Genomic DNA, 25,367 nt, shown 5'->3' on the forward strand with positions numbered 1-25,367 from the left:
AAGTCTTTTTCCCTTGCCTATGTCTTGAATGGTATTGCCTAGGCTTTCTTCTAAGGTTTTTATGGTTTTAGGTTTTACATTTAAGTCTTTAATCCATCTTGAGCTAATTTTTGTATTAGGTGTAAGGAACGGCTCCAGTTTCTGTTTTCTGCATATGTCTAGCCAGTTTTCCCAACATCATTTATTAAATAGCGAATCTTTTCCCTATTGCTTGTTTTTGTCAGGTTTGTCAAAGATCAGATGGTTGTAGATGTGTGGTGTTATTTCTGAGGCCTGTGTCCGGTTCCATTGGTCTACATATCTGATTTGGTACCAGTATCATGCTGTTTTGGTTACTGTAGCCTTGTAGTATAGTTTGAAGTCAGGTAGCCTAATGCCTCTAGCTTTGTTCTTTTTACTTAGGATTGTCTTGGCTATACAGGCTCCTTTTTTGGTTCCATATTAAATTTAAAGTAGTTTTTTCTAGTTCTGTGAGGAAAGTCAATGGTAGCTTGATGGAAATAGAATTGAATCTATAAATTACTTTGGAGAGTATGGCCATTTTCAAGATATTGATTCTTCCTATCCATAAGCATGGAATGTTTTTCCATTTGTTTGTGTCCTCTCTTATTTCCTTGGGCAGTGGCTTGTAGTTCTCCTTGAAGAGGTCCTTCAGGTCCCTTCTAAGCTGTTAAGTGGTATTTCTAGGCATTTTATTCTTGTTGTAGTAATTGTGAATGGGAGTTCAATTATGACTTGGTTCTCTGTCTATTATTGGTGTATAGGAATGCTTGTGATTTTTGCACATTGAATTTCCTTCCTGTGACTTTGCTGAAGTTGCTTATCAACTTAAGGAGTTTTTGGGCTGAGATGATGAGGTTTTCTAAATATAAAATCATGTCATCTGTAAACAGAGACAATTTGACTTCCTCTCTTCCTATTTGAATACCCTTTATTTCTTTCTCTTGCCTGATTGCCCTGGCCAGAACTTCCAATACTGTGTCGAATAGGAGTGGTGAGAGAGGGCATCCTTGTTTGTGCCAGTTTTCAAAGGGAATTCTTCCAGGTTTTGCCCATTCAGTGTGATATGGGCTGTGGGTTTGTCACAAATAGCTCTTATTATTTTGAGATATGTTCCATCAGTGCCTAGTTTATTGAGAGTTTTTAGCATGAAGGGCTGTTGAATTTTGTCAAAGGCCTTTTCTGCATCTATTGAGATAATTATGTGGTTTTTGTCGCTGGCTTTGTTTATGTGATGGAGTACATTTATTGATTTGCATATGTTGGACTAGCCTTGCATCTCAGGGATGAAGCCAACTTCATTTGCTGCTGAATTTGGTTTGCCAGAATTTTATTGAGAATTTTCACATCAATGTTCATCAGGGATATTGGCCTGAGTTTTTTTTGTTGTTGTTGTGTCTTTGCCAGGTTTTGGAATCAGGATGATTCTGGCCTCATAAATTGAGTTAGGGAGAAGTCCCATTTTTTCTATCATTTGGAATAGTTTCAGAAGAAATGGTACCAGCTCCTCTTTGTACCTCTGGTAGAATTTGGCTGTGAATCTGTCTGGTCCTGGCCTTTCTTTTGGTTGGTAGGCTGTTAACTATTGCCTCAATTTTAGAACTTGTTATTGGTCTATTCAGGTATGCGACTTCTCTCACGTTTAGTATTGGGAGGGTATATGTGTCCAGGAATTTATTGATTTCTTCTAGGTTTCCTAGTTTATTTGTGTAGAGGTGTTTATAATATTCTCTGATGGTAGGTTGTATTTCTGTGGGATCAATGGTGATATCCCCTTTATCATTTTTATTGGGTCGATTTGATTCTTCTCTCTTTTCTTCTTTATTAATCTGGCTACTGGTCTATTTTGTTAATCTTTTCAAAAAACCATCTCCTGGATTCATGGATTTTTGAAGGGTTTTTCATGTCTCTATCTTCTTCAGTTCCACTCTGATCTTAGTTATTTCTTGTCTTCTGCTAGCTTTTGAATTTGTTTGCTCTTGCTTCTCTAGTTATTTTAACTGTGATGTCAGGGTGTTGATTTTAGATCTTTTCGGCTTTCTGATGTGGGCATTTAGTGCTACAAATTTTCCATTAAACGCTGCTTAACTGTGTTCCAGAGATTCTGGTACGTTGTGTCTTCATTCTCATTGGTTTCGAATAACTTATTTATTTCTGCCTTTATTTCTTTATTTACCCAGTAGTCATTCAGAAGCAGGTTGTTCAGTTTCCATATAGTTGTGTGGTTTTGAGTGAGTTTCTTAATCCTAAGTTCTAATTTGATTGCACTGTGGTCTGAGAGACAGTTTGTTATAATTTCAGGTTTTTTGTTTTTGTCTTTTTTTTTTTCGCATTTGCTGAGAAGTGTTTTACTTCCAATTATATGGTTGATTTTAGAGTAAGTGCTATGTGGTGCTGAGAAGAATGTATATTCTGTTGATTTGGGGTGGAGAGTTCTGTAGATGTCTATTAGGTCCACTTGGTCCAGAGCTGAGTTCAAGTACTGAATATTCTTGTTAATAACCTGTCTCATTGATCTGTCTAATATTTACAGTGGGGTGTTAAAGTCTCCCACTATTATTATGTGGGAGTCTAAGCCCCTTTGTAGGTCACCAAGAACTTGTTTTATGAATCTAGGTGCTTCTGTATTGGGTACATATATATTTAGGATAGTTAGCTCTTCTTGTTGCATTGATCCCTTTACCATTATGTAATGCCTTTCTTTGTCTTTTTTTATCTTTGTTGGTTTAAAGTCTGCTTTATCAGAGACTAGTATTGCAACCTCGGCTTTTTTTGCTTTTCACTTGCTTGGTAAATATTCCTCCATTCCTTTATTTTGAGCCTATATGTGTCTTTGCACGTGAGATGGGTCTCCTCAATACTGCACACCGATGAGTCTTGACTATCCAACTTGCCAGTCTGTGTCTTTTAATTTGGGCATTTAGCCCATTTACATTTAACATTAATATTGTTATATGTGAACTTGATCCTGTCATCATGATGCTAGCTGATTATTTTGCACATTAGTTGATTCAGTTTCTTCATGGTGTCACTGGTCTTTATATTTTGGTGTGTTTTTGCAGTGGTTGGTACCGATTTTTCTTTCCCATATTAGGGCTTCCTTCAGGAGTTCTTGTAAGGCAGGCCTGGTGGTACAGAATCCCTCAGCATTTGCTTGTCTGTAAACAATTTTATTTCTCCTTCATTTATGAAACTTAGTTTGGCTGGATATGAAATTTTGGGTTGAAAATTCTTTCTTTAAAAATATTGAATATTGGGCCCCACTGTCTTCTGGCTTGTAGGGTTTCTGCAGAGAGATCCATTGAATTCAACATCATTTCATAAAGAATAACACCCTCAAAAAGCTAGGTATACAAGAAACATATCTCAATATGATAAAAGGCATATACAATAGACCCATAGCTAGTATTATACTGAATGGGGAAAACCTGAAAGCCTTTCTTCTAAGATCAGGAATACAACAAGAATGCTCACTTTCACCACTGTTATTCAGCATAGTACTAGAAGTCCAAGCTAGACCAATCAGATAAGAGAAAGAAATGAAGAACATCCAAATTAAAATGAAAGAAGTCAAACTATTGTTTTTTGCAGATGATATCATTTTATACTTCACAAAACCCAGAGACTTTACCAAAAATCTATTAGAACTGATAAACAAATTTAATAAATTTGCAGGATACAAATTTAACATTAAAAATCAGTAGCATTTCTATATGCCCACATAGAATATTCTGAAAAAGAAATCATGAAGGTAATCCCATTTACAATAGCTACAAATAAAATAAAATACATAGAATTAACTTAACCAAAGAAGTGAATTTTTTTTTAAATTAAACATGGATGCAAGAAATTAAAAAGTACACCAAAATATGGAAAGGTATTCTCTGTTTGTGGATAGGAAGAATCCATATTTTTAAAATGTCCATTTTACCCAAAGCAATCTATAGATTTAATGCAATCCCTATCCAAATACCATTGATACTTTTTACAGAAATAGAAAAACAATTCTAAATTTTATGGGGAACCATAACAGACCCAGAATATCCAAAGCTATCCTGAGCAAAAAGAACAAAACTGGAGTAATCACATTACCTGATTCCATATTATACTACAGAACTATAGTGATATGGTTTGGCTGTGTCCCCACACAAATCTTGTTTCGAATTGTAATCCCCATGTGTCAGGGAAGGGACCTGGTGGGAGGTAATTAGATCATTGGGGTGGATTTTCCCCATGCAGTTCTCATGATAGTGAGTTCTTATGAGATCTGATGGCTTAAAAGTGTGACACTTACACCCTCACTCTCTCTCCTGTCCTGCCATTGTGAAGATGTGCATGCTTCCAACATTGTGAAGATGTGTGTGCTTTCCAGTCACCTTCCACCATGACTGTAAGTTTTCTGAGGCTGCCCAGTCATGCTTCCTGTTAAGCCTGCAGAACTGTGAGTCAATTTAACCTTTTTTCTTTGTAAATTACCCATTTTTAAGTTAGTTCTCTATAGCAGCATGAAAATGTACTAATACTTATAGTAACCAAAATACATGGTCCTGGCACAAAAACACACAAATAGACCAGTGGAACAGAATAGAGAACTCAGAGATAAGTCTGTTCACCTGCAGTGGACTCATTTTTGACAAAGGTGCCAAGAACACACTTTGGGGAAAGGACTGTCTCTTCAGTAAGTGGTGTTAAGAAAACCAGATATCCATATGCAGAAGAATGAAATTAGATCCCGGTCTCTCACCATATACAAAAGTCAAATCCAAACATATTAAAGACGCAAATATAAGACCTCAAATTGTGAAACTACTAAAAGCAAACACTGGAGAAATTCATCAGGACATTGGACTGGGTGAAGATTTCTTGAGTAATACACTATTAAGTGCTATTTATTGCACTGGCAACCAACACACAAATGGACAAATGTGATCACAAGTTTTGCACAGCAAAGAAAACAATCAACAAAATGCACAGACAACCTACAGAATTAGAGAAAATATTTGCAAACTATTCATATGACAATGGATTAGTAATCAGAATACACAGGAGCTAAAACACCTCTATAGGAAAGGAAAAATATAATAAGCAGATTTTAAAATGGGTGAAAGTCCTGAATAGGCATTTCTCAAAAGAGGACATACACATGGAAAACAGGTGTATGAAAAGGTGCTCAATATCATTGATCATCTGAGAAATGCACATCAAAACTGCAATAAAATATTATCTCACCTCAATTAAAATGACTTTTATTCAAAAGACAGGCAATAACAAATGCTGGCGAGAATGTGGAGAAAAAGGAAACCTCATACAGTGTTGGTGGTAATGTAAATTAGTACAACCACTATGAAAACAGTTTAGAAGTTCCTCAAAAAAAGAAAAATAGAACTACCATATGTTCCAGCAATCCCACTGTTAGATATATACCCAAAAGAAAGTAAATCAGTATATCAAAAATATATCTGCACTCCCATGTTTATTGTAGCCCTATGCACAATAGCCAAGATTTGGAAGCAACCAAAGTGTTGAACAGATGACTGGGTAAAGACAATGTAATACATGTAAACAATGGAGTACTACTCAGTCATAAAAGTAGAATGAGATTCTGTCATTTGCAACAACATGGATGGAACTGGGGGTCATTATGTTAAGTAAAATAAGCCAGGCAGAAAGACAAATATCCCATTTTCTCACTTATTTGTGGGATCTAAAAATAAAAACAAAAGAACCCATGGGAATAGAGAGTAGAAGAGTAGGTACAAGAGGCTGGGAATGGTAGTCGGGGGATAGGGAAAATGGGGATAGTTAGCGGGTACAAAAAAATAGAAAGAATAAATGACACCTAGTATTTGCTAGGACAACAGGGTGACTATAGTAAAAAGTAAACAATATTTTAAAATAAAAAATATTTAAAATAAAAAATACCAAAGCATCAATCGATGTTATCAATGTGGTTATTGTTATTTTGCCAAAATATGAAAGTGGGAATATATGTTATATATGCCCATAGAGCTGGCTATGAGAAACTGGCTTATGCATAGACAACTCAGAGAATTTTAGAAATCAGAGAATTTTAAAATTTCAGAGTAGGAAATAAACTCAAAGGTCATCAGATCTATGCCTCATCTGGTGCTTGTAAAAAGACTCTGGAATCTCTTAAGGGAACTTATCTATATCTTGTTATTGTCATTCTCTTCCCAAATTCTGTTATTTTTAGACAGTAATGCTACAGATTTTTCATCAGTCTAACAAATTGTATTGAATTCACCTTTTTTATGCTTGTAAAGATTTTAATAATGTTGATTGAAATCAAAGTGTTATAATTATTTCAATGCAGAATCTTCAAAAAATTTGCAAGGGGAAGGCGGGAAAGCAGTCTGCTTAGTTCTTCTGCTCATTGTTACTGAATTATACTCCTAAAAGTGAAGTCCACAGTCATTTTATTCCTCAATAAAAACCCTGACTCTTTGGGGAGATGTTCTAACACAAAGCACAGAAAATGAAAAGAAGATTCAACAGCTTCATTTTTCAATTTACCTAATCTGGATAATAATCTCTACCTGGTGATAATTCATCTCAGGGAAGAATTTACCACTATTTTGGATCAGATTGTACTTCATAGTAGGTAATCATTTCAAGGCAGTACTCAGTATAGGTGTTTAATCCAAAGGTAATGTTAGTTATTTTTCTGCAGCTGCAAACATATTTTCCAAGGAAACAATATTACAAAAGGCATTTTCAGAGAGGACCAAGATGGCAGAATAGAAGGCTCCACCAATTGTCACCCTCGCAAGGACATCAATTTAATTACTATCTACAGAGGAAAAAAAAAAAAAACACCTTCATTAGAACCAAAAATCAGATGAGCCCTCATAATACCTGGTTTTAACTCTATACTGCTGAAAGATGCACTGAAGAGATAGAAAAAACATTCCTGAATCTCAAATGCCACCCCTTCCGCACCCTTGGCAGCAGCAGTGTGGTACAGAGAGCTTCTTTGGATGCTGGGGGAAGGTGAGCACAGCAATTGTGAGGCATTAATCTCAGTGCTATCCTTTTAGAGCAGAGAGGAAAACCAGACCAAACTTACCTGATGCATGTCGAGCTAATGGAGGGAGCACTTAAAGAAACCTTAGCCAGAGGGTAGTCACCTAGCCTAGTGGTCTAAACTTGAGTTCCCTCACACATCACTACTGGGGGACAAAGTGCTCTGTATCTCTAAGTAAACCTGAAAAGCATTCTAGGTCATCAGGACTGCAACTGTTAGGCAAGTCATAGGGCTAAACTGAGCCCAGAGACAGTGGACTGGGAGGCCACATGATCTACTGAAACACCAGCCAGCACAGTTAAGGGAGATCTGAAATCACCACATTTCTAACCCCAGGCTGCACAGCTTGAGGCTCCAAAACAGATCCCTTCCTTCTGCTTTAGGAGAGTAATGGGAAAAGTGAGGAGGACTTTGCCTTGCATCTTAGATACCACCTCAGCCACAGCAGAATAGGGCAATGACCAGAGTTGTGAGGCCCCCATTTCAGGCTCTAGTTTCCTGACGACATCTCAAGACATGCCCTGAGCCAGAAAGGAACCCACTGCATTGAAGGGAAGGAGCCAGTCTTGGCAGCATTTATCACCTGATAACTGAAGAGGCCTTGAACCCTGAGCTACATCAAGGGCCTTGAGCAAGCCTCTGAAATTGCTGGCTTCAGATATCAGCATGACTATAGGAGGATATAACACCAAGTGGGCACTCTTGGAATCCTCAGTTTCAGGACTTCACTCTTGGATGGCATCTCTGGATCTGCCCTGGGCCAGAAGGGAACCCTGTTCTCTGAAGGGTAAGTTGCAGGCCAGGCAGCATTCACCAAAAGCTGATGTCAGAGCTCTTGGGCCTTAAGGGAACATTGGTAGTAGTCTGGCAGAACTCCTCATGGCCTAAGGTGGTGGTTGCTACAGAGTGAAGGTTCTCTTCCTTTGGAAAGGAGAAGGAAGAGTTGAAAGAACTGTGTGTCATGGTTTCAGTGCCAGCTCAGCCACAATACAATAGAACACAAGGTAGACTTCTAAGTTTTGTCACTCTATTTCCTGACTCCTAGATGACACCTAGGGACCCACCTGGGACCTGGGAGAACTCACTTCCCTGAAGGGAAGGACACAGGCCTGGCTGGCTTTGCCACCTGGTGATTATAGAGTCCCAGGGCCTTGAGTGAATATAAGCAGTAGCCAGGAAGTGGTTACAACAGGCCTTGAGTGAGACCCAGTGCTGTGCTGGCTTCAAGTCTGACCCAGCACGGTCCTAGTCCTAGTGGTGATGGCCACAGGGATGCTTGTGTACCTCCAACCCCAGGTTTAAGAGGCTTGGAACAGAGAACGAGACTCTATATGTTTAGGAGAAAATAAGGGGAAAGAGCAAGAGTCTCTGCCTGGTAATCCAGAAAATTCTCCCAAATCTCGTTTACGACCATCAAGGTGCAACTTCTATGAGTCTGCAAGAACTGCAGCATTACTGAGATTTGGGTGTTCCCTAAAGCAGATACAGCTTACATCAAAACACCCAAGTCCTTTTTAATTTCTGGAAAGCTTTTCAAATAAGGACGGGTATAAACAAATCCAGATTGTGAAAACTAAAATTCAATATCAATCACTTCAATGTCCAGACACCAAAGAATATTTACTAGCATCAACACCACCCAGGAAAGCATAACCTCACCAAATGAACTAAATAAGGCACCAGGGATCAATCTTGGAGAAACAGAGATATGTGACTTTTCAGACAGGGAATTCAAAATAGCTGTGTTGAGGAAACTCAAAGAAACTCAAGATAACACAGAGAAGAAATTCAGAATTTTATCAGATTAATTTTTCAGAGATTGAAATAATTTTAAAAATCAAGCAGAAATTCTGGATCTAAAAAGTACAACTGGCATGCTGAAGAATGCATCAGAGTCTCTTAATAGCAGAATTGATCAAGAAGAAAGAGTGAGCTTGACGACAGACTATTTGAAAATACACTGCTAGGGGAGACAAAAGAGAAAAGAATATAAAACAGTAAAGCATGCCTACAGGATCTAGAAAACAGCCTCAAAATGTCAAAGTTAAGAGTTATTGGCCTTAAAAATGAGATAGAGGAAGAGATAGGGGTACAAAGTTTATTCAACAGGATAATAAAAGAGATATTTTCAAACCTAGAGAAAGTTATTAACACTCAAATACAAGAAAGTTATATATCTCCAAGCATATTTAACTCAAAGACTACCTCAAGGCATTTAATAATCAAACTTTCAAAGACCAAGGATAAAAAAAGGATGCTTAAAGCAGCAAGAAAAAAGACACAAATACAATGGAGCTGCAATATGTCTGACAGCAGACTTTTCAGTGGAAACCTTACAGGCCAAGAGAGTGTGACATGACATATTTAAAGTGTTGAAGGGAAAAAACTGTTACCCTAGAATAGTATATATGGCAAAAATTCCCTTCAATCATGAAGGAGAAATAAAGACTTCCACAGACTAACAAAAGCTGAGGGATTTCATTCATAAGAGACCTGTCCTATGGGAAATGTTTAAGGGAGTACATCAATCAGAAAGAAAAAGACATTAATGAGAAACAAGAAATCATCTGAAGGTACAAAACTCATGGGTAATAGTAAGTGCACAGAAAAAAACACCGAATACTTCAGTGTTATAATACTGCAACTGTGATATGTAATCAACTAAAATGCTAGCTAGAAAAACTAAATGATGAACCAAACAAAAATAATAACTACAACAACTTCTTAAGACATAGACAGTACAATAAGATCTAAATAGAAACAAAAAAGTTAAAAAACTTGAAAATAAAGTTATGGCATAGAATTTTGTGTTAGTTTTCTTTTTGTTTCTTTATTTGTTTATGAAAACCGGGTTGAGTAGTTACCGGGTTATAAGATAGCAGGTGCAAGCCTCACAGTAACCTCAAACAAACAACAAAAAAAATTACAATGGAAACAGAAAAACAAAAAGCAAGATAAATCATATCACCAGGGAAAATCGCCTTCACTAAAGGAAGAAAATAAAGAAATAACGCCAAAAAACAAATAACAAAATGGCAGGAGTAAGTCTTTATCAATAATAATGTTGACTGTAAATGAACTAAAGTCTACAATCGAAATAAATAGAGTGGCTGAGTGTATTAAAAACAAGATTCTGTTGCCTACTAGAAACACACTTTACCTATAAAGACACAAATAGATTAAAAGAAAAGTGATGGAAAAGACATTCCATGCCAATGGAAACAATAAATGATCAGGAGTAGCTATACTTATATCAAACAAAATAGATTTCAGGACAAAAACTATAAGAAGAGACAAAGAAAGTTACTATATAATGATAAAGGGGTAAATTCAGTAAGAGGATATATCAATTTTAAATATATATGCACCCAACACTAGAGCCCCTAGATAAGTAAAGGAAACATTATTAGAGCTAAAGAGAGAGATAGTTCCCAATACAATAATATCTGGAGACTTCAACACCCCACTCCCAGCATTGGACAGATCGTCAAGACAGAAAATCAACAAAGAAACATCAGACTTGATCTGCAGTATAGATCAAATGAATCTAATAGATACTTACAGAACATTTTATCTGTTGGTGGCAGAATACACATTCTTTTCTTCAGCACATGGATTATTCTTTAAAATAGACCATATGATAGGTCAAAAAAGTCTGAAAACATTCAACAAAATTGAGATAACATCAAGCATCTTCTCTGACCACAATAAAATAAAATTAGAAATTAATGATAAGATAAATTTGGGAAACTATACAAACACATGGAAGTTAAACAATATGTTCCTGAATGACGAGTGGGTCGATGAAACAATTTTTGTAAACTTCTTAAAACAAAAGACAATGGAAACACAACATACCAAAATCTATGGGATACAGCAAAAGCAGTACTAAGAGGGAAGTTTATAGCTGTAAGTCCCTACATCAAAAAAGAGGAATAACTTCAAATAAACAATCTAATGATACATCTTAAAGAAATAGAAAAGCAAAAGCAAACCAAACCTAAAATTAGTAGGAGAAAAGAACTAATAGGCTGGGTGTGGTGGCTCACGCCTGTAGTCCCAGCACTTTGGGAGGCCGAGGCAGGCGGATCAATTCAAGTCAGGAGTTTGAGACCAGCCTGGCCAACGTGGTGAAACCCTGTCTCTACTAAAAATACAAAAATTAGCCAGGCGTGGTGACAGGTGCCTGTAATCCCAGCTACTCTGCAGGCTGAGGCAAGAGAATCACTCAAACCCAGGAGGCGGAGGCTGCCGTGAGCCAAGATAGCAGCACTGCACTCCCGCCTGGGTGACAGAAGGAGACTCCATCTCAGAAATAATAATAATAATAAAATAAAGATTAAAACAAATAAATGAATTTAAAATGAGGAAAATAATACAAAAGATCAATGAAACAAAAAGTTGGTTTTTTGAAAAGTAAAACAAAATTGACAAAACTTTAGCCAAACTTACTAATAAAAGGAGAGAAGATTCAAATAAAAGCATTAGAAATGAAAAAGGAGACATTACAACTGATACTGCAGAAATTCAAAGATCATTTGTGGCTATGATGAGCAAATATATGCCAATGAGTTGGAAAATCTAGAAGAAATGGACAAATTTCTAGGTACATACAACCTATCAAGATTGAACCAGAAAGAAATCCAAAACCTGAACAGACCAATAACAAGTAATAAGATCAAAGCCATATTAAGAAGTCTCTTAGTAAAGAAAAGCTAGGGACCCAGTGGCTTCACTGCTGATTTCCACAAACATTTAAAGAGAACTGGTACCCATCCTACTAAAACTATTGCGAAAAATAGAAGAACAGAAAATACTTCTAAATTCATTATATGAAGTCAGCATTACCCTGAAACCAAAACCAGACAAAGACACAACAAAAAAAGAAAACTACAGTTCAATATCTCTGATGAATATCGATGCAAAAATCCTCAACAAAATACTAGCAAAACCGAATTCAATGTTACATTAAAAAAAAAAAATTCATCATGACCAAGTGGGATTCATCCCTGGGATGCAAGGATGGTCCAACATATGCAAATCAATCAATGCGATACATCATAGCAACAGGAATGAAGCATAAAAACCATATGATTATTTCAACTGATGCCAAAAAGCTTTTGATAAAATTCAACATCCCTTCATGATTAAAAAAAAAAAAAAGCTCTCATAAAACAGGGGATAGAAAGAACATACCTCAACATAATAAAAGCTATATAGGGCTGCGGGCTAGCGTCCCCCGCCCGATCGGGGCTGAACGGGGCTGGGCGGGGCTGGGCGGGGCTGGGCGGGGCTGGGCGGGGCTGGGCGGGACTGGGCGGGGCCGGGCGGGGCCGGCGCTGGTTAGCTCCTGAGTGTGAAACCGCGTGTTAGTGTAACCCACGCCAGAGGCGCGGGCGGCGGCGGCGGCGGTAGGAGCGGCGGCTGCAGGAGCAGCAGCAGCAGAAGCAGCGGCGGGTACTCTGTGCTCTGCGTCCCGGAGGCAGCCGACTGCGCCACCCCACCCTCGCACGGCCGGGCGGGACCCGCGCCACCAGCCCGGACCTCCGTCGTCCCGCGGCGACCAAAATCTCCGCTGGCCGCACCGCTGTGACTACTCCGGACTCGCCGGCAGAGTTTGCCCGCCGGGGAGGGTGGCCGATTGGCGGAGCGCACTCCTGCTGTTTCTCCCACCATCTCGTGGATGTCGTCCCTCGGGTGGTGAGAGAACTTTGCAGTGGGCTGGAGCGCCCTTTGCGGAGAAGCACACGAAGGTGAAGGAAGGAAAGAAAGAAGACCGAGGAAGAAAAGAAAGAAGACCGAGGAAGAAAAGAAAGAAGACCGAGGAAGAAAAGAAAGAAGACTGAGGAAGAAAAGAAAGAAGACCGAGGAAGAAGGGGCTCGGAAGAAGGGTCCGGAGCGGCCGGGCCGGCCGTGCAGGGCGAGTGCGCGCGAGGCGCGGCGCCCTGATGCTCCCCGAGCTCGAGGAGCAGCGGCCATTTGCGGGACTGCTCTCGGTGGAGTAGCCCCGTCGGGCCCGGAGGTTTGTGCAACCGCGGAGAACACCGAGTGCTGGTCGCACGGGGCGTGCCGAGCCGCCTTCCGGCGCGCCCTCCGCACTTTCCCCGCCTAGTCATCCCTCGCTCCCCGGCCAGGAGCCTCCGCCGCGTCCTCAACCTCTCTCCCTTTTGCGTCCCGGGACCCTGCGAGCACCCGGGCCGAGGGCGCAGCCGAGTCTTGCGGGAGTCGCCCCGAAAGCGTCGGGTTTGTGTGGGGTTAGCGGGGGCCGCCGCGCCACCTGCGCCTCGCCCGCCGCCGCCTCGGGGAAAACCCGAAGAGGAGGCGGACCAGGAGAAGAGCAAAGAAAAGCAGCCCGTCTGGATTTGTTTGCCCAGGACTGGCGCCGCGCACGCGGATCCCCGAGGGGAGTGCGGTCGGAGTCACCGCGCCCCCGCCTCCCCGCCCGGGCGACTGAGGCCGGGGGGTTGGAGCACTGCCCCCGCGCACAGTCCCCGAACGCCCGACGTCTCCGCGCAGGTTATTGAAGCAGCTGGGCCTGGGGCGCCCACTAATGTGGCCCTGAGGGCCGGAGCCCGCACCGACGGGAGCGGGAGCCGGAGCAGCTGCGGGCGCCGAGTGGCCGGTACGCCCGGCCTAGCGCGCCTGCGTGCGTGGCCACCTCGCTCCCCGCTTCTGCCTGGCTTTCCGGCTTAATTTTCCTCGGCGGGATTAAAGTTGGAAATTGACCGGAGAATTGAGTTGCCGGGGAACAGAGCCCCGGCCGCCGCCAGCGCGATGTTCCCGCAGAGCCGGCACCCGACGCCGCACCAGGCTGCAGGCCAGCCCTTCAAGTTCAGTATCGCGGAGTCCCTGGACCGGATTAAAGAGGAATTCCAGTTCCTGCAGGCGCAGTATCACAGCCTTAAATTGGAATGTGAGTAACCGGCAAGTGAAAAGACAGAAATGCAGAGGCACTATGTGATGTATTACGAAATGCCATATGGATTAAACATTGAAATGCACAAACAGACTGAAATCGCCAAGAGATTGAATACGATTTGTGCACAAGTCATCCCATTTCTGTCTCAGGAACATCAACAACAGGTGGCCCAGGCTGTCGAACGTGCCAAACAGGTGACCATGGCAGAGTTGAATGCCATCATCGGGCAGCAGCAGTTGCAAGCTCAGCATCTTTCTTATGGCCACGGACCCCCAGTTCCCCTTACGCCTCACCCTTCGGGACTTCAGCCTCCTGGAATCCCGCCCCTCGGGGGCAGTGCCGGTCTTCTTGCACTGTCTAGTGCTCTGAGTGGGCAATCTCACTTGGCAATAAAAGATGACAAGAAGCATCAAGATGCAGAGCACCACAGAGATGAGAGGCCCGGCAAGCCAGATTAGGACTTTGTCCTCATACTCTTACAGTGCTGCAAAGTTGTGTGGATCGCTAAAGAGAGCCCCAACCTATACAGAAAGCAAACAATGAGATAAGAGGAACTGTCTCAAAGCTTTCCACTGAAACACAGGTCACCCTGGAAGTTTGCAGGGTTTGCTGTGGGCATCTGTAGATTTCTCGATCTCGTTAGATTGCAGGCATCTTGACATCTTGGCAACTGCCTAGTTAATGCCAGTGGCCTGTACCATATTATGGAAAACTGTTAACTGCTTAATTGGGTAATTTTCAAAGAAAGTAATGTTGTTAAATGGGGTGAAATAAGAAGTTAAATTTGAAAGTGAATGTGTTCAAATGAAAGGTTTGATAATTGCATCTGTTACTACTTAGTTTCATAGGCTTTAATTCTAGTATGCATTAAATATTGGGCAAAATTGCACTTGACTAATTTTTTGAAGAAAAGTAATTTATTCTGTCAAGAAATAAAAAAATAGGCTTTGTGTATGGTTAAACTAAATCTTATGTTTACAAAATACTGTAATTTTCAGGAAATCACTGTATTAGGAATGTGCAATGACTTATATAAATGAAAGCCATTTTTAAAACTGAAAAAAAAATAAAAAAAATAAAAGCCATATATGACAGCTCCACAGCAAGTATCATACTGAATGGGGAAAACCTGAAAGCCTTTTGTCTAAGATCTGGAACATTACTAGAATGCCCACTTTCACCACTGTTATTCAACATAGTAGCGGAAGTCCTAGCTAGAGCAATCAAACAAGAAAAAGAAATAAATGGCAACCAACTTGGAATGAAAGAAGTAGTATTATTTTTGTTTGCAGACAATATGATCATATATTTGGAAAAACCTAAAGACTCCACACACACACACACACACACACACACACACACACACACACAATTAGAACTGATAAATTCAGTAAGGTAGGAGGTTACAAAATTAACATACAAAAAAAATCAATTGCATTTCTACATCCCAACAGTGAGCAATCCTAAAAAGAAATTTAAAAAGTAATCCCATTTACAATAGCCACAAATAAAATTCAATACCTAGGAATTAAAGAAGCAAAAGATTTCTCAAAAATTATAAAACACTGATGAAAGAAATTGAAGAGGACACCAAAAAATGGAAAGACATTCCATGTTCATCTATTAGAAGAATCAATATTGGTAAAATATTCATACTACACAAAGCAATCTACAGATTCAATGTAATCCCTATCAAAATGCCAACAACATTATTCACAGAAATAGAAAAAAATGCTAAAATTTATATAGGCATACATAAGACCCAGAATAGCCAAAGTTATCCTATGCAATAAGAGCAAAATTGGAGAAATCACATCCAAATTCAAATTATATTACAGAGCTATAGTAATCAAATCAGCATGGTACTGGTATTAAATCAGAAAAAAAAAAAAAAAAAAACAATGGGACATAATAGAGAACCCAGAAACAAATTCACACACTTAAAGTGAACTCATTTTCAACAAAGGTGCCAACATACTTTGGGGAAAAGACAGTCTCTTTAATAAATGGTGCAGGAAAAACTAGATATCCATGTGCAGAAAGATGAAACTAGACCCCTGCGTCTCACCATGTACAAAAGTCAAATCCACATTGATTAAAGACTTAAATATAAGACCTCAAACTATGAAACTACTACGAGAAAACATTGGGGAAATTCTCCAGGACATTGGTCTAGGCAAGAATTTTTTGAACAATATCCCTTAAGCACAGGCAACCAAAGCAAAAATAGACAAATGAGATTACACCAAGCTAAAAAGCTTCTGCACAGCAAAGAAAACAATCAACAAAGTGAAGAGACAACCCACAGAATGGGAGAAGGATATTTGCACACCATGCATCAGACAAGGGATTAATAACCAGAATATATAAGGAGCTCAAAGAACTCTATAGGAAAACATAATAAACTGACAAAAAAAAATAGCAAAAGATTTGAATAATTTCTCAAAGTACACACAACCCAGAAACAGGCATATGAAAAGGTGCTCAACATAATTAATCATTAGAAAAATGCAAATCAAAGTACAATAAGATATCATCTCACCCCAGTGCAAATAGCTTATATCCAAACACAGGCAATAACAAGTGCTGACGAGGATGTAGAGAAAAGGGAATCTTTGTACACTGTTGGTGGAAATGTACAGTAGCACAACCACTATATTGTATAGTTGGAGACTACTACAAATACTAAAAATAGAGCTATTATATGACCCAGCAATCCCACTGCAGAATATGTAACTAAAAGAAAGGAAATCAGTATAACAAAGAGATATCTGCACTCCCATGTTTATGGCAGCACTGTTTACAATAGCTAAGATTTGGAAGCAACCTAAGTATCCATCAACAGATGAACAGATAAAGAAAATGTGGTGCATACACACAATGGAGTACTACTAAGCCATAAAAATGAGATCCTGTCATTTACAATAACATGTATGGAACTGGAGATTATTATGTTAAGTAAAATAAGCCAGGCACAGACTGAGAAATATCACATGTTCTCACTTTTGTGTGATATAAAAATTAAAACAATTAAACTCATGGACATAGAGAGTAGAAGGATGCTTACCAGAGGCTAAGAGGAGATAGGGATGGCTAATGGCTATGAAAATATAGTTAGAAAGAATGAATAAGGCATACTATTTGACCACACGGAAGGGTGACCTTAGTCAATAATAACTTAATCATACATTTTTAAATAAGTAAAATAATGTAATTGTGGCCAGGCATGGTGGCTCATGCCTGTAATCACAGCACTTTGGGAGGCCAAGGTGGGCAGATCATGAGGTCACGAGTTCGAGACCAGACTGACCAACATGGTGAAAACCCGTCTCTACTAAAAATACTAAAATTAGCTGGGCGTGGTGGCACACACCTGTAATCCCAGCTACTCAGGAGGCTGAGGCAGGAGAATCACTTGAACCCAGGAGGCAGAGGTTGCAGTGAGCCGAGTTCATGCCTCTACTCTCCAGCCTGGGCGACAGAGTGAGACTCCATCTCAAAATAAATAAATAAATAAATAAATAAATAAATAATAGTGTAATTGGATTGTTAGTAACACAAAGGATAAATGCTTGAGTGGATGGACGCCACATTTTTTATAATGTGATTATTTCACATTGCCTGCTTATATCAAAATATCTCATGTACCCCACAAATATAGACGCCCACAAAAATTTAAAATAAAATAAAATAAAATAAAATAAATAAAAACAATATTACAAATAATAATACATATATAATTTTTCAAAATTAACTTATTGAGGTGAAATCTAGATAATATAAAGTAACCATTTTAAAGCAAAAAATTCAGTGGCATTTAATGTATTCACAGTGTTGTGCAACCATTTCTATTCCCTTCATAAAACATTTTTATCACTCTAAAGTAAAACCCTTTACCCATTAAGCAGTTTCTTCAATTCCCCAATGCCCTTAGCCCCTGACAACCACCAATCTATGTTCTGTCGCTGTGTATTTATCTATTCTGAATGTTTCATGTATATGGAATTATACAATATGTGACCTTTTGTGCCTTGCTTCTTTCATTTACCATTATTTCAAGATTCTTTTGAAATATAGCATGTATCAGTACTTATAGCATGTGTCAGTACTTCATTCCTTTTTATGTCTGAGTAATATTCATTTGTTTAGCCATTCATCCTTTGATGAATATTTTGCCTATTGTGAATAATGCTGCAATGATCATGTGTACATGTATTTGTTTGAGTACATATTTTCAAGTTTTTTTTGGAACAGGGCACAGGGTTTCACTCGCCCTGTTCCCCAGGCTGGAATACAGTGGCACAATCACAGCTCACTGCAACCTTGACCTCCGGGGCTCAATTGATTCTCCCACTTCAGTCTCCCAAGTAGCTGGGACTGCGGGAATACACCACCACATCCAGCTAATTTTTGTATTTTTTGTAGAGACAGGGTTTCACCATGCTACCCAGGCTGGTCTTGAACTCCTGAGCTCAAGCCATCTGCTCACCTCAGCCTCCCAAAGTGCTGGAATTACAGGAGTAAGCCACTGCACCTGGTCTTACTTTCAGTTCTTTTCTATTATATACCTAGCCCTAGAATTGTGAGATTTTATGTAAATTCTGTTTTGTTTTGTTTTGTTTTGTTTTTTTTGAGGAAATGCAAAGCTGTTTTCTACAGTGTCTGAACCAATTCACATTTCCACCAGCAGTGTTTAAGGATTCCATTTTCTCCACATTCTCGCCAACAATTCTCTTATTATTTTCTCGGTTTTTTTTCCTAGTGAGAGTGAAGTTGTACTCTATTGTGGTTATGATTTGCATTTCCCTAATGACTAATGATGTTGAGCATCTTTTCATGTGCTTGTTTGCCTTTGTATATCTTTGTAGAGAAATATCTATTTCAAATCCTTTCCCCATTTTTTTTAAAAAATCGGGCTGTTTGTCCTTTTGTTGTTGAATTTTAAACATTTTTAAATATATTCTGGATACTAGTCTCTTATCAGACATGATTTGCAAATGGTTTCTCTCATTCTATGGGTTGCCTTTTCACTTTCTTGATCATGTTCGTTAAAGTACAAAAGGTTTTAATTTTTGTAAGGTCTAATTTATTTTTTTGTTGTTGCTTTTCTTTTGGTTTCATATTTAAGAATCCATTGCAAAATCCAAGGTTGTGAAATTTTACCCCTGTTTTCTTCTAAGAGTTTTATGGTTTTCACTCATATATGGGTCATTGAACCATTTAAGTTAATTTTTGTTTATGGTGTGAAGTAGGGGTCAAACTTTTCCATGTTTTTATCTAGTTGTTCTAACAGTATTTGTTAAAACTATTATTTTTTCTCTTCGAATAGTCTTGGCACCTGTGTCAAACATCAATTGACTATAGGTTTATGGACTTATTTCTGTACTCCCAATTCTGTTACATTGGTCTATATGCTTAGTTTTATATGGTACCACGCTGTTATGATTATTGTAGCTTTATAGTAAAGTTTGAAATCAGAAAGTGTGAGTCCTCCAACTTTTTTCTTACTTTTTAAAGATTTTTTTTGTGTGTGGCTATTTGAGGACCCTTGTGATTCCATATGAACTTGAGGTTTAGCTTTTCCACATCTGCAAAAGGCATCATTGTAAATTTGGTAGACATTCCATTGAATCTGTAGATCACTTTAGGTGAGTATTATTACCATCTTAACAATATTAATTCTTCCATTTTATGAACACAGTATGTCATTTCATTTATTTTGGTCTTCTTTAATTACCAGTTTTTAGTGTACAAGTCTTTTACCTCCTTGGTTACATTTATTTCTAGGCATTTCATTCATTTGGGTGCTATTGTAAATTGAATTGTTTTATTCTTTTTCAGATATTAATTGCTGGTGTGTAACCCTTTTATTATGCTATTGGATCTGATTTGCTAGAATTTTGATGAGGAATTTTTCATCTATAGAAATAAGGAATATTGTTGTGTACTTTTCTTATGATGTTGTCAGCAGGATTTGGAATCAGGATAATGCTGGCCTCATAGAATACATTGGGAAGTGTTCCCTCCTCTTCTATTTTTTTTTTGAGGGGGGGAAGGGTTTGAGAAGTATTGATATTAATTCTTCTTTAGATGTTTGTTACATTTCCCCAGAGAAGCCATCTGGTTCTGGGCTTTTCTTTGCTGGAAGTGTTCTATGTTTTTCTACTAGGTTTCTAGTTGGTTTATGGTGGTGTTCAAGTTCTCTATTGCCTTCTTGATTTTTTGTCTAATTTTTCTGTTTGTTATAAAATGTATAGAACTATCTATTTCTATCGATTCTGTCAAGGTGAAGGGGGAAGAAGATATATTGTAAGTTATGGCACACAGGAGCATTAGGGGAGTCCCTGTGGTTTCTTGGTTGGTCATTCCTCTGTAAGTGAGAGAAACTTCTCATGTTAATAAACTTTGGATGCCTGTCTTACAAGAAGCTCTACAAGGAGTATGGCCTTCAGAGACCCAGCAGAGTTGTCTATGTATCCAGATTCTCTACCTTCGCTTCTTTTTTCACTGTAAAGAAAGCAGAATGACATAGAGAGATGGAATCAGATAGATCTAAGTTCAAATCTGGGACCTGCCACTAGTTAGCTAGCTGTGTGATCTTCAGCAACATAGTAGGTGTATATACTTATGGCATACATAATGATTTGTTGACAAAGAGTCAAACTCGTAAAATGTTTGAAGAGATTTATTCTGAGCCAAATATGAGTGAACAATGGACTGTGACACAGCCTCAGGAAAACCTAAGAACATGTGCCCAACATGTGGTTGGGCTACAGCTTGTTTTATACATTTTGGGAAGGCATAAGACATCAATTAATACGTGTAGATATACATTGGTTTGCTCCAGAAAGGTGGGATAACTTGAAGTGGGAGCTTTCTGGTCATGGGTGGATTCAAATATTTTTCTGATTGGCAATTGGTTAAAATAGTTATTATCCAAAGACCTAGAATCAATAAAAAGGAATGTCTAGGTGAAGATAAGGGATTGTGAAGACAAAGGTTTTATCATGCCGATGAAGGCTCCAGGGAGCAGGCTTCAGAGCTCTCAGCAAACCTAAAAATTACCCAACTTTGTTAATTCTCTCCTGGATGGAGGAAAAGACATGGAAAGGAATGGAGATTCTCTACAGAATGTAGATTTTCTCCACAAGAGACAGCTTTGCAGTGCCATTTCAAAATATGACAAAGAAATATATTTTGGGGTAAAACACTTCTATTTATTTCAGGGCCTGCTATCTATTATGTGATACTCTAGTAAAGTTAGGTTGGAATTTTGTGTCTTATTGCTACAAACAGTCTGTTTCATCAGTCTTAAAATATCTGTTTTAATGTTAATGCTGGTCAGCTGTGCCTTAACTCCAAAGGGAGTAGGGTATAATGAGGCATGTCTGACCCTGACTTCCCATCATGGCCTGAACTAGTTTTTCAGGTTAACAATAGAATGCCCTTGGCTGAGAGGAGGGGTCCATTCAGTTGGTTGAGGGGCTTAGAATTTTATTTTTGTTTTACAAATTTAATTAACTTCTCTGAACCTTAGTTTAAATACTTATCCTCTATGAAATTGTGATAATATGTACTTCAATGTATTACTGTGGATATTACATGAAAAAATTAACTTGCTTTTGAATTTTCAGTTATCATTATTACTGTCTTTAGATCGCTTGAGATTCAGTTTCAAGTAATCCTCATTTATCCTGCATCATTTGAAATGGGGGCATGTTTTCCAAAAATAAATTTTTCAGACAATTTAAAAATTAGTGTTTAAAAATTGATCCTTGATGAAAATATTTCTAAAATATATTGTACAATTCTATACCTTCTTAAACAGTAGTCTGAACAGAATTAAACTTCTTCATGATGATTGGGGTTCAATATTAATTAACACCCATGACCACACATTTCTATTATATAAGATACGATCTTAGCCCCCAAGGACTGGAAGACTGGCAGTCATGGGAGAGGGGCAGGATTGAGACACAGAAGATTATTTGCATTTACACTCAATAGCCTCAGAAAAATATTTATTTCTTATGTCTCTTTTATATAGTTTCTGTTTTTCTCCCTCATTCTCAGCCTGTCAGAAGTTGCTTCTTGCTGTTACTGGTATACCTGCCTCTGGCTACTCCCCTTCTAATTCTTTCTGTTACTATAGACATGGAAACCCAGATAACCAAACTTATGAAAATTATGTCTAATTCAGTGATTCTCCTATTGTGATCCCCAGAACAGTAGCATCAACATCACCAAGACACTTATTAGAAATGCAAAATCGGGCCGGGTGCGGTGGCTCACGCCTGTAATCCCAGCACTTTGGGAGGCTGAGGTGGGCGGATGACGAGGTCAGGAGATCGAGACCATCCTAGCTAACACGGTGAAACCCCGTCTCTACTAAAAATACAAAAAAAAAAAAAAATTAGCCAAGTGTGGTGGTGGGCGCCTGTAGTTCCAGCTACTCGGGAGGCTGAGGCAGGAGAATGGTGTGAACCGGAAGGCGGAGCTTGCAGTGAGCCGAGATCCCGCCACTGCACTCCAGCCTGGGCAACAGAGCGAGACTCCGTCAAAAAAAAAAAAAAATGCAAAATCTTAGGCCCACTCCAGACTTACTGAATCAAAGAACTCTGGGGCAGAGCTCCACAATTTGCTAACAAGACCTTCAGTAGATTCTGATTATGATCAAGTTTGATATTTATTGCCTGACTATACTTGTTTATACTGAAAACTCTTAGGTCTCATTCCAAGAGATATGATTTAGTATATCTTGGGTAGAACTTAAGAGCCTTGATTTTTTAACCCATTCCCCAGATTATTCTGATGAAAGTATTCAAAAGGCACACTTGGAGAAATATTTCCCAAGCCTAGACCATTGCTTCTCAAACCTACCTGGGGATTTTTCTAAAATGCATATTCTGTTCGAATAGGTCTGGGGTTCAGCATTTTAATGGGCTCCTAGATAATACCTATGTACAGGGTGGTAAACCACACTCTGAGTAGTAATTTCCTAGAACTTTATATAGTAGGTATTTTGTAAGTGTTTTTATTTTATTTTGTTTTTTAATGTCTTTTATCCAGAATTTTTCCTTTGAGTGAAAACAGTATCAGCCTTTCTTGATTTTATAAAAGATGTCATTTTCTCCTAAATCAAACATGTTTATTTATACTTTTACATATAAAAATTGAATTAAAATTTAATTATATACCATGAGTTAGTTGGCTTTATAAGCAGAATGAAGGAGCTCTCCTATGAGTAAAGGTGTATGAGCTTTATTTCCTATACTCAATCATCTTAGGCTTCTCAGAGGCCTTCTATTTTGTCCTTCTGGATTTTAAGTGTACCTTCAGTAGGGAATGGGTAGGAAAGCTTCTGTACCAAAAGGGTCCACATTCTATGGCAGATTAAATTATTCTCTCTGGAGCTAATTGATTTCTGGCCTTTCTCTAGTCTAAGCACTCCTGTCAGCATTTATCTCCTCCCCTAAAGGATTTGATCAGTAATCCCAGCCTTTTTGCGTGGGCAAAGCCCTTTGTTCCCTCTGAATGAGCATCCTGAGCATTTCATTCTTTCAGGAGAGAATGGGACTCTGAGACAGACCTTGGTAGATAGTACTGTACCTTATTATTACCCAACCAACATTATTTTCTACTAATACAGAAGATACATACTATCCACTCCAAGTGGGTCTTCTCATTGTACAATCTAATGCTTTTTCTTATTGTATTCTCATGCTATTATCCATCTACTTCATGTCTTTCACCTATCCCAGTGAGTTTCAAATTGTGTTCAGATGGCAGAGACCTGAAGTCTTTTAGAATTTTATGAACTAGCTTAACAAAACATAAAGGGCTAAGTATATAATTATGAAGATGCATTACTATTTTATTTTATATTTTAATACAAAGAAGCTATAGCAAGTGTCAAAAGATTAAAAATATATACAGAAGGGGAATTTCAAGTTGAGAGAATGCTACCTTAATTGTTTTACAATTAATTAATTAATTGAGATAAGATTACTATTTTATTTAAATAATGGAATACCCTAGCTCATTGTGTACAATTCCAATGCTCTAATGGAGGAATTTGAGATACACTGGCCTATCATTCCAAAAGTTAGACATCCTGTAATGGATAATTTTAAATACAAAAATCTATTGTACTCCTATGCACTTTAAATGAGTATTCTTGAGCTCTGTCACTACTCTTCTCTGTAGGCCAGACCTTAAGAGTGGGAACTGCAGTAACTGAATGGTAAAACCTAAATGCAATAGGAGTAATTGGACCTGGGATGGCAGGAACCAAGTGATAACAGTCGACTTCCAAAGGCAAAGTGGGTGTGGTTACCTTAATGGACAACCAAGTCAAAGCAACAATCAGAATAGCCTGACTCATACAGACCTATGGCATTGATCATGGTATTAATAGAAGTGAAATAGATAAGAAGACTCCTAAAATCTTACTCGATCTGTATAAGCAGGATAGTTCTAGGTCAAGTGAACATAAGTTTCACCTGAATAGTGAAAACTAAGCGACATGGCCCCTAAGTCCATTTCAAGACTTGAACCAGTATACAGACCCAGAACCCCTAGAATGAAGGGAAGATGAGGGCTCCTTGGTGAAGAACCCTGGTATACTACTGAAAACCTGTACTGTTAATCTTTCTCCATCCTTCCCCAAAGGGACCTATGGCCTTTTACCAGGGTAACTGTGCAACATAGAAAAAATTACCAGACCTTCCAAGGATTACTGGACATTAGATCTGAACTTACTCTAATTCCAGGAGACCCAAAATGTAACTGTGGCCCCTCAGACAGAGTAGGGGCTTATGGAAGTCAGGTGATTAATGAAGTTCTAGCTCAGGTTCATCTCTTGGTGGGCCCGTGGGTCCCCAAAACCATCCTGTGATTATTTCTTCAGTTCCAGATTGTGTAATTGGAATAGACATACTCAGCAGCTGGTAGAATCCCCACATCAGTTCCCTGGCCTGTGGAATGAGGCCTAAATGGAAGCCATTAGAACTGCCTCTATCTAGGAAAATCATAAACCAAAAGCAATATTGCATTTCTGGAGAGATTGTAGAGATTAGTGCCACCATCACGGAATTAAAAGATGCAGGGGTGGTGATTCGCATTACATCCCAATTCAACTGGCCTGAATCTTGGAGAGTGACAGTGGATTCACACTTGTGGTCAGCAAATGGTATAATAGGACACTTCAGTGATTGTTCTTTTGAAGAAACATGGTAAGTCTAGGTAAGGGATTACAGCACCTGGGAGTGCATAGAAATAATAAAAGACAAATTGAATAGGGTAGGAAGGACAGTTTCACATTACACATATGACTGCTCCCCAAAGTCCAGGGAGCACAGCATTGAGAATGAAGTGAACAAGAGGCTTTGTCCCAACTCCAGC

General features: G+C 38.8%; 1 protein-coding gene and 1 pseudogene across 14 annotated transcripts in view; both read left to right on the forward strand.

Annotated features, from left to right (window-relative positions):
• The window catches only part of ZC3H12B (zinc finger CCCH-type containing 12B), a 473,062-nt gene that overhangs the window by 359,438 nt on the left and 88,257 nt on the right, over positions 1 to 25,367 (forward strand). For 4 of the 14 annotated variants that reach the window (XM_047442075.1, XM_047442076.1, XM_047442074.1 and 1 more), the window contains one exon: positions 4,330 to 4,390. The exons of 9 other annotated variants lie outside the window; for them this stretch is intronic. The gene's annotated coding sequence lies outside the window, so the exon portion shown is untranslated. Of the gene's footprint in view, positions 1 to 4,329; positions 4,442 to 25,367 lie in introns of all 14 variants that reach the window. One more of the 14 variants, NM_001010888.4, reaches the window with a different exon arrangement.
• On the forward strand, positions 13,614 to 14,411 carry TLE1P1 (TLE family member 1 pseudogene 1; annotated as a pseudogene).

The sequence above is a fragment of the Homo sapiens genome, chromosome X (genome assembly GCF_000001405.40).
Source record: "Homo sapiens chromosome X, GRCh38.p14 Primary Assembly".
Lineage (NCBI taxonomy): Eukaryota > Metazoa > Chordata > Mammalia > Primates > Hominidae > Homo > Homo sapiens.